Source organism: Homo sapiens, chromosome 17 (genome assembly GCF_000001405.40).
Source record: "Homo sapiens chromosome 17, GRCh38.p14 Primary Assembly".
NCBI lineage: Eukaryota > Metazoa > Chordata > Mammalia > Primates > Hominidae > Homo > Homo sapiens.
The window spans coordinates 14,228,076-14,237,819 of record NC_000017.11 but is presented as its reverse complement, the minus strand read 5'-3'; the positions used below and the strand labels follow the sequence as shown (position 1 = coordinate 14,237,819).

Here is a 9,744-nt window from a genome sequence, read left to right as displayed (position 1 = left end):
AAATAAATAATGAAAAAAGCTCATAGAATAAGGTTAAAAAGAAACAAAATATTTTTGTATAGCTATATAATTTGTGTGGCTTTTTTGTTTATTTGTTTGAGACAGGGTCTCACTCTGTCACCCAGACTGGAGGGCAGTGGCACAATCACAGCTCACTGTGGTCTCAACCTCTTGAGCTCCAGAGATCCTCCCACCTCACTCAGGAGGACGTCAGTCCTCCAGGCAGACGTCAGTCCCCAGGTGGACCCTGGACTCAAAGTGTATACCAGGCCCCAAGTTGACAACCAGGCCCCAGATGGACACCAAGGCCCTAGGTGGACAGCAGGCCCATGTTGAACACCAGACTCATGAGGACATCAGGCCGCAGGTAGACATCATGCCTTAGGTAGATACGTAGGCTCCGGGTGGACATTAGACCCAAGGCTCCAGGTAGACATTAGACCCAAGTCCCCAGGTGATCATCAGGCCCAGGTGAAAACTCAGGCCTTAGGTGCACCTCTGGCCTCAGGTGGACACCCAGGCCCCAGGTGATCACCAGTCCCCAGGTGGACACAAGGCCTTAGGTGAACAACAAGACCCAGTAGGCCATCAGGCCCCAGCTGGATACAGTCCCCAGGTGAACACAAGGCCCCAAGAGGGACATAGGCCAAGGCAGACATCAGGCCCCAGGTGGACATCAGGCCTGAGGACGACATCTGGCCCCTGGTGAACATCAGGCACAGGTGTCCAAGCAGACCCTGGGTGGACATAACTGTGTACGGGTCAGGAGATGACCTGAGGGGAGGGTGAGTAGTCAGCAGCCCAGTGGAGTCCTGAGTAGGTCTTATGGAAGGAAGGGGACTAGGGGACAGAACCGTAAAGAAGCGACCTCACTTCCTGGATGATGACCACACGAACAGAACTTAGAACTCTGGTAACCAGGCACCCATATCCTAGAGTCAGCGCCGTAAACAGCTCACTTGGTGGGAGTCGCTCAAGAGAGCAAGATGTTCTCGTGTTGCTTCCCCACTTCGAGAGGTTGCTGCTTCAGGAATGGAGGGAGTGAGAGCCTTTTCCGACGATGCCGAAGAAGGCTCATCCCTCACCCCAGACGCCTGTCGCCCGTTGTAATAAGGCGCATCCAGGTACCACAGGACAGCCTGGGGCAGGCCCTAGCAGGCCAGGCCACACCAGAGATCCCATTGGGGCTGCAGCTGCACACTGTCCTTGTCCAGGAGATTCAGGAGCTCATTGAGGCACAGACACTTGGTGAGGTGGCCTGCAGCCTGGAAGACTTTGCGGGGGCGGTGATTTTGGGCTGGAATTCCCTTAAATTCAGTGAGGTCGTTTCTGTGTTTGGAAATTCCAGTGGAAAGTGACTGAGGCTGGTGACCCTTTCTCCTTTCTCAGCTCCTGGTCCATGTGCAGAAGTAAGAGCACTGCCAGCACCAGCGGCGGAGCCAGAGCCAGCATGGGAAGAGGCCCCTCCAGAGAGAGCACTGGAGCTGGAGGGAGCTCCAGCCAAGGACCAGACCAACGAGGAGCTGCCTGAAATCACGGCACGTACTGTAGCCACTAGCCCTAACCCTGGAACTGAAAGCGTGGCTGGAGAGAGAAGTGGGAGGGAGGGGGTGACCAGCACAGCCCCAGCCAGCAGCTCCCATGCTGCCCCTAGTCCTGGGCACGGTGGCAAACATGCAGGCAGAGAGCAGGGCATTTGGCCTGGCCTCCTGTACCTCGCTGGAGAGAGGCTTCTCTCATTCACTAGAACCACAGTCCTGCTGCTGCAGGTCCGTTTATTCTCCTGATCCTGGTTTATCTGTGTGCAGGAGGTGCCGGAGAGCATTAAAAGAAGGCTGGGAAGAAGAGTTCCAGCAGCTACGCCTGCTCCCAGAGGCAACCTCCTCCTCCAGGCATGGATGCGGGTCCACAGCTGGGCATCCAGGCTGTTTGCCCCTAATGTGCTGCCCGGGACAGGCCCTTAACAGGCGGGCAGTGGGTGAGGGGACCAGGAGGTGGCTCCAAAGGGTAAAGCAAACAAAGCTTTTAACGACAGCCGTTGTGCCCCAGGCTCTCCATGCCACCACCTGCCCTACCATTTATTAATAGTGTTAGAATTACAAGTTGATGAAACGAGATTACAATAAAGTTTGATTTCTGAAACTTCATGCCTTTTTGAACTCCCTAATGTTAGATGGTGTTTTTGAGGCTATCCTGAAAATCTCTGATAGTTGTGTCTTTTGTTGTGGTTGTTTGTGTGGCTGAATTACCATCGAGTCATCTGTTATTGGAAACCTTTCAGGTATGGCTTTTAGAAGACCTTGACCTACTCTTGACTGTTTTGACTCTCTGGTTTATTGTGGAAAGAGGGATGATGTAGGCTCATGTCTCCGGCAGATCAATCACCTTTTGCCATCAAGGATTTGGCATCAGAGTTTCCAAGAATTATGTGTGCAAGTTGATATGCTGCTACTTTAGCTAATCTGGGTGTCAAAACAGAATGCCATAGACTAGGTAGCGTAGAAAATTGATTTCTCACAGTTCTGGAGATGGTAAAATCCAAGGTCAAATTGTCAGCAGATTCCGTGGGGCTGACTTCCTGGTTCATAGACAGCCATCTTTTTTACTGTGTCTTTACATGACAGAAGGGATGAGGGAGCTCTCTGCAGTCCCTTTGAAGGGGCACCAATTCCATTCATGAGGTCCCTGCCTTCATGAACTGAATCACCTGCCAAGGCCCCACCTCCAAATACCATCACATAGAATTAGAATTCAACACATGAATTTAAGGAGGACAATAACATTTGCTTCACAGAATCAGGTCACCCCGCACCATATGCACTCACAGGAAATCTCTAATCTCCTGTTAAGTATTTGCTGGTCCCCTCTGGGTTTAGGGAATTTTTTTTCTTTAAGAAAAATGATCTTTCATGTGGTCCATGGTTTATTCATAGAAAAGCACTGTGAGTTCATACACTTGCTAAAAAGAAGGGCAATTGTGATACGAAAATGAGAGTGAACTCTCTCCCTCTCTTCTTTTCAACCAACTCATTGGACTGAGATGTTATAGGGTCCCTTGGCTGGGCAGTAGGACGTGAGTAGCCACAAACGGCAAATACAACTTCTTGGTCAGTTTGGAGTAGAAAAGGTGACATTTTGTCAACGAAAGAAAAAGGAAAGCAGATGGAGAAGTTCTTAGTTTGCATTCTAGCTATACCACCCCTTCCCTATCAAACCCCACCCCCAGCTAAGGAACTAAGACATAAAAGAGTAAACACCAAGGCACTGGTAACCAACTGACTCTTCTGAATGCTCTTGCTATCTCCTACAATAATTCCAGGCTGAGTATAGGGGTCAGGAAAGTAGCAGGAACATGATGATTCACTGTGGAGGTCAGCCAGGGCTAAGACAGGGTTGCCCACTGGGGCTAGAAATTAGGAAGGGAGAGGCTAAGTGAAGACCAGCCCTAGCCTCCAAGTCAGCAAGCAATGAGACTGTGACAAAAGCAGGCAGAGAAAGGCAGGGGAAGAAAGCAAGTACGGGGTGAGAAGAGAACTGTGCAGTGAAAACAGCCAATCTGATGGCAGAAGGAGACTGGTGCTTAGAAGCTCATTTGGTGAGAGAGAATGAATAGAGGAGGCACAGAGATGGGGAACATTTAACTAGTGAGAGAGATGTAAGACGAATGGGAAGAGAAATCTCGCAAAAAGGACACATTCATGCAGATCCTCAAAGAGGAACACGCAGTCACCCCCACATGTAGAAATACACTCAGTTACACATATAAAAACACAGATGCATGGAGAGCAAGCATACACACAGACACGTATCTCTACACATGCACTCATGTGTGCCCAGATACACACACACTAAACATGCAAGACATGAGAGCATTTACACATAGATATGCATCCTCACATGCAAGCAAATGTTACATTCTCACACAGGTCCCACATTCCAGTGTGCACATATCCACCCAGGTACACAGCCATAGAACTGACATACGTACACATCAACATATAATGTGCACATACAGACAGGCTTGCGCAGATATATCTATGCACGTAGACACATGTACTCAGTCATACAGATACACACACTCTCTAACACAAAGGTGACCAGTGTAGATGAATATTGTGAGCTCAGTGGCTTCCCAGACCTTCATCTTTTCCCTGTTCTTGTTTCAAAGGTGCTCAGCAGACTCCTGGCGAGGCTGTGTGAGGCAGGGGCAGGACCTTCAGAGTCCTCACAGCTTTGTGAGGCAAAAGTCTGAGTCCAGTCCTGGCCTCTGCCGCTCACCCACCACTGGGCTATTAATGCCCTGTCTGTAGGCGAGAGATTCTGCATAGACTAGTCTTGGGATTTTTTTCTAACTGGCCATTTTTCTCCTTGGCACACCCACTATCCCACTGGTAACGGCACACACTCTGCAAGGGAAACCTGAGAAATGGTTGTGAGTCTCCTCGGACAATAAGCATACCCTCCCACCCACAGCTACCTCAAGTGCCCATCAAATCAGAACCAGAATTATAAATACTTACGACTTTACAGTAATTGGCAACACATATACTATAGTACTTACAGTACCATAAATGCATCTGTTTCTCTGGTGAAGCAATCTCTGAGATGGAACAGTGTTCTGTGTTTGCCAAGGGAGACAGGGCCAATGCCCAGGACACGCAGGACATAGGGGCAGAAAGTGGCATATCGTGGGGGTTTCTGGTCGATCTGCAAGGCCCAGCTTCTCCATGAACAGTGGGCTGTAGTGAGAAGCTTGCCAAGGTATGCATATCGACTGGAGTTGGAGTCTCCCCATCCTTAGCCCTGTGGTCCTTTGGCCTCAGCCACAGGTGCTCAGAGTCCTCTCAGGGTGGACAAATGTCTCAGTGTCGTTGGCCTGACCTGATACTACCTGGAGACCCAGGCTGCCGGGCTGGTGAGCTATCTGCTTTCTCAGCCAAAGGGCTCTCGAACCAGCAGCATCAGCTGGTTATAACCACTAAAAAAATCTGTATGAAGAGATACTCTTTTTAAAAAAAAACTATATATAAATTGAAATATAATTCTAAAGGAAATGTCCAAACAACCCAAAGGAAGCAGGAAAAAGAAAACAGAAATAATAAGCAGAGACACAAACAGAAAACAAAAAATTATTATGCCCTAACATATCAGTAAATATATTAAATGTAATGATCTAAATACACCAATTAAAAGACACATTGCCAGAGCAGACTTTTTTAAATGATTCAACTATACAGTGTCTAGAAAAAATTCACTGCAAATATAATGATTACAGGCAGGTTGAAAATAAAAAAATAAAAATGATACATCCTGAAAATATTAATCTACAGGGAACAGTCATTATATTATCAGATAAAGTATATTTCAGCACAAAGAAAATGACCAGAGACTGAGAGGAATATTACATAATGATAAAAGGGTCAATTCACTGAGACGTAGTGAGCCTAAATGTTCATGCACCTTTAAACATCAGAGCTGCAAAATAATGTGAAGCTAAAACTAATAGAACTGAAAGGAAAAATAAATAAATCCACAAATACAGTTGGAGACTTCAACACCTCTCAATAACCCAATTAAAGTAGTCCTAGGAGGGAACTAAATGTAACTAAAATGCTCACATTAGAAAAGAGGAAAGGTCTCAAATCAATAACGTATGCTTCCACCTCTAGAACCTAGAAAAAGAAGCACAAAATATACCAAAAGCAAGAAAAAGAAGGAAATAATAAAGATAAAAGTAGAAATCAATGAAACTGAAACCAAATCAATGAGCTGGTTCTTGGAACAAATTGATAAAATTGACAAACTTCTGACAAGATCAACAAAGAAAAAAAGACATAACGGCACAAATTAATTTCAGAAATAAAACAGGGATACCATTACAGATTCTGCAGACATCAAAAGGATAATTAAGAATACTAATACAATTCTACAAATATTAATTTGACAACATACAGAAAATGGACCCGTTTCACTGAAAAACACAGATAATTAAAATGATCTTATAAATATTAAGGAAACTGAATATGTAATTTTATAACACACACAAAAAAATCTCCGAGCTCAGATGGTTTTACTTAAGATTTCTACCAAGTGTTTAAAGAATGAATGCTAATTCCATATAATCTTTTTCGGAAAACAGAAGAAACGCTTTCCAATTCATTTTATGAAGCTAGTATTACCCTGATACCAAAACCAGACAAACTATATACAAAACCCAAAAATTTGTTAAAAGGGAAAAAAGAAACTATGGACTAATATCCCTCATGAATATACAGTAATTCACCCTTTCTCCCATCCACTGTTCTGCAGTTTCGCTTTCCTGGGTTTGTTACTCACGGTCAGCCACAGCCTGAAAATATTAAATGGAAAATTCCTGAAATAATTTACGAGCTTTAAACTGCATGCCTTTCTGAGTAGTGTGATGAAATCTTGCATCGTCCTGCTCCATCCCAGCTGGGAGGTAGATCCTCCCCTTTGTCCATCGCATCCACGCTGTATACTTCACCTGCCCCTTTGTCACTTAGTAGCCAACAGTTATCAGATCTACTGTGGTGGTATTGCAGTCCTTGTCTTCAAATAATGCTTGTTTTACTTCATAATGGCCCCAAAGCACAAGAGTAGTGATATGGTTTGGCTGTGTCCCCAACCAAATCTCATCTTGAATTGTAACTCCCACAATTCCCACATGTCGTGGGAGGAACCTGCTGGGAGGTGATTGAAGCACAGGGGTGCATCTTTCCTGCACTGTTCTTGTAATAGTGAATGAGTCTCACAAGATCTGATGGTTTTCAAAACGGGAGTCTCCCTGTACAAGCTTTCTCTTTGCCAGCTGCCATCCATGTAAGACATGACTTGCTCCTTCTTGCCTTCCACCATGATTGCGAGGCCTCCCCAGCCATGTGGAACTGTAAGTCCAGTACACCTCTTTATTTGGTAAATTTCTCAGTCTCAGGTATGTCTTTATCAGCAGCGTGAAAATGGACTAACACGAGTAGTGATGGTAGCAGTTTGGATATGCCCAAGAGAAGCCATAAAGTGCTGCCTTTAAGTGAAAGGGTAAAAGCTTTCAATTTAAGGAAAAAAAAAAATTCATATGCTGAGCTTGCTAAGATTTACAGTAAGAAAAAAAATCTATTTGTGAAATTGGCCGGGCGCTGTGGCTCACGCCTGTAATCCCAGCACTTTGGGAGGCCAAGGCGGGCGGATCACGAGGTCATGAGATCAAGACCATCCTGGCTAACATGGTGAAACTCCATCTCTACTAAAAATACAAAAAATTAGCCGAGTGTGATGGCACGGGCCTGTAGTTCCAGCTACTTGGGAAGCTGAGGCAGGAGAATTGCTTGAACCTGGGAGGTGGAGGTTGTAGTGAGCCAAGATCACGCTACTGCACTCTAGCCTAGGCAACAAAGTGAGACTCCATATCGAAAAAAAAAAATAAAGGAAAGAAAGAAAGAAAAAGTAAAAGTAAACTACTTAGTCTTTATAACATAGTAGAACCAGACAGAATAGTAAAGCTCTATGGCCATTTGGTATCAGCTAAAATAGTGGTTCTCAAACTATGTTTCGTAGAAGTATTTCAGAGACCTCCTCTCTGTCAGGCAAAATAGCTCTCCTTCAATGAGTTTTATATATTGGTGTCCTGTGTAAGATTTTTGTTTCAAAAAAAGTGTCCATTATTTGAAAAAGTCAGTGCTTCTCAATACCCTGTTATATCAGCATTTCAAACAGGCAATTCGACTAAGACTGTCCCTCAAATTGCTGTGCCTCTGGCATTGTTGTTCTTCGGGCACCAAAAATCAGTGTCATCTCTCCCATCATCGGAACAATTCTGAATGCCCCCGCACATTTCCAACGTGGCCCCCACCCCCACTGATCTGCCCGTAGTCACTTTGGAGTTAGCACCAAATCTAACAAATCCAGGTCGACAAGTCTGCATTTAAGTGGAGAAAGATTTCCCACAATAGTACTTTGCCTGAAATTGTTCTTGAGTGTTAAAAATGGTAAAAGAAACACTTAAAGGGTGTTTTTTTTGTCATCCAAGTCCAATTCTCTTTAAAAGAAACAATCATCATGGGGACCTCCCACCTTTCCTGCCAGAGAAACTGCTCTCTCCTGGTAAATGAATAGCTCCTGGATATTTCTTGGATATTCATACGACTTAACTCCAGGATGAGAAAGGCTGCCACGATTGTGCCAACATTTGTGCATCTGGTCTACTTGACAATTCCACTTACCATTGTAAAGGAATAAGTTGGCGTTCTGGTATCTCAAAAATAAACATGTAAAAAGATCACAGTGCTTAAAATCCACAATGAGGCCCAAACAGACTGCCACATGGTAAGGGACATCACTGGCTTACACCTTTGGGATCTACTACCCTCTACTGGGGCAATCACCTGAGAAAGGGCAGGGGTTCAGGTGGCACCCCCACTTCCCACAGAAAAACTGCTGTCACATGGTTTTCTTATAAGAATCTGCAAGTGGAAAATGAGTGGAAAGCAAGCCAGAACAGATGTCTAATATCATTAAAGCTGGTTCCAAAAGAATCCAGATCTCAGTTTGGTATATTAATGCTCTATTTATCTTTAAACACAGATGGATATTTTTATTGGTATTACTTTGTTTATCTGGTTTTAAGAAAGGTTAGTCCAGGGGGCAGATGCCTCTGTTACGAGAGTGCATTCCTGTGAGAGAGTCAGAGGAGAGGGGCAGCTTTTTTCAGCAGAACTTTAATTAGGAAAGCCAAAGTTGTATACGTTGGCAGCTCTCGCCTGATTTAATGAGGCCAGTTGCAACAACAAACAGAAAGACAAATAGGACATTGGCAAGCCCAGGGTTTCCCACCTCTTTTCCTCACCAGCCGAAGAGAAAAACAACACACCACTACCACATTCCCAAGTGCAAAATAGACAATGACAGAATCTAAATTCTCTAGAAAGGGATGCTTCACAAACAACTATCACATAAGATAACCAAGAGGAATAGGTCTGTTACCAGTGTCCTAGTTATGAACACGTGGACCTTCCAGAAGCTTCTGGGTAAAGCGATTTCCATGTGGCTTATGGACTTGTATGGCTTTTATTAGATGATAGCCCGGGACCCCAGCGGGGGGATGCCCAGGCTCTGTTTGCAATCGTTACCTCTAAGTTTGCTTTTTTACTGGAGTTGATCTCTAACTTTAGTCTCTCTTTTTGGAGGAGTTAAACAGGATTATGGATCCACATGTCCAGGAAATTCCTTCCTGAATTGGATTAGGAGATTTCATTTGCCTGATGGATCTCCCAGAAATAATTGCTAACATGAACACAGTGTGTGTGCTTTCTTCATCAACAGAGTAACTCCTTATTCCTCATCTTTTTCTTTAATCTTCCTTCTGCCATCCTCTTCAGGCATGAACATATTCAAGTGTATGTGTATCAAGAAAAGAGAAAATGTTTTAACATCCGAAAATTGGAGTTTGAGAGTCACTTCTGCCACATGCCCTGTGACCATGGACACACACTTACCTGCTCCATGTAACAACTCTCCTGCCTTTAAAATAAGAATAAGGCTGAGCATGGTGGCTCACACCTGTAATCTCAGCACTTTGGGAGGCTGAGGCAGGTGGATCACTCGAGGTCAGGAGATCCAGACCAGCCTGGCCAACATAGTGAAACCCCGTCTCTACCAAAAATATAAAAAATTAGCTGGGTGTGGTGGTGCGTGCCTGTAATTCCAGCTACTTGGGAGGCTGAGGGAGGA

The 9,744-nt window shown here is 44.7% G+C and overlaps 1 protein-coding gene across 2 annotated transcripts, besides 1 other annotated feature; it reads left to right on the top strand.

Annotated features, from left to right (window-relative positions):
* The first annotated feature begins 957 nt into the window (after nt 1-957).
* CDRT15 (CMT1A duplicated region transcript 15) lies at nt 958-2,147 on the top strand. 2 transcript variants are annotated; one of them, NM_001348781.2, is made up of 3 exons: nt 958-1,124; nt 1,390-1,538; nt 1,809-2,147. In NM_001348781.2, the coding sequence occupies exons 1-3, from the start codon at nt 1,061-1,063 to the stop codon at nt 1,962-1,964; spliced, it is 369 nt and encodes a 122-aa protein (NP_001335710.1). In that variant the 5' UTR covers nt 958-1,060; the 3' UTR covers nt 1,965-2,147. The 2 variants fall into 2 exon arrangements, with proteins under 2 accessions (NP_001335710.1, NP_001007531.1); NM_001007530.3 differs by having other exon boundaries at nt 958-1,248.
* Nucleotides 1,227-1,734: an enhancer, noted in NCBI's record as "H3K27ac-H3K4me1 hESC enhancer chr17:14139403-14139910 (GRCh37/hg19 assembly coordinates)". NCBI's record gives its function as "activates a minimal SCP1, AML or CMV promoter by ChIP-STARR-seq in naive H9 embryonic stem cells {active_cell/tissue: H9 hESC(naive)}" and the evidence as "EXISTENCE:reporter gene assay evidence [ECO:0000049][PMID:30033119]".
* Nucleotides 2,148-9,744: the final 7,597 nt, after the last annotated feature.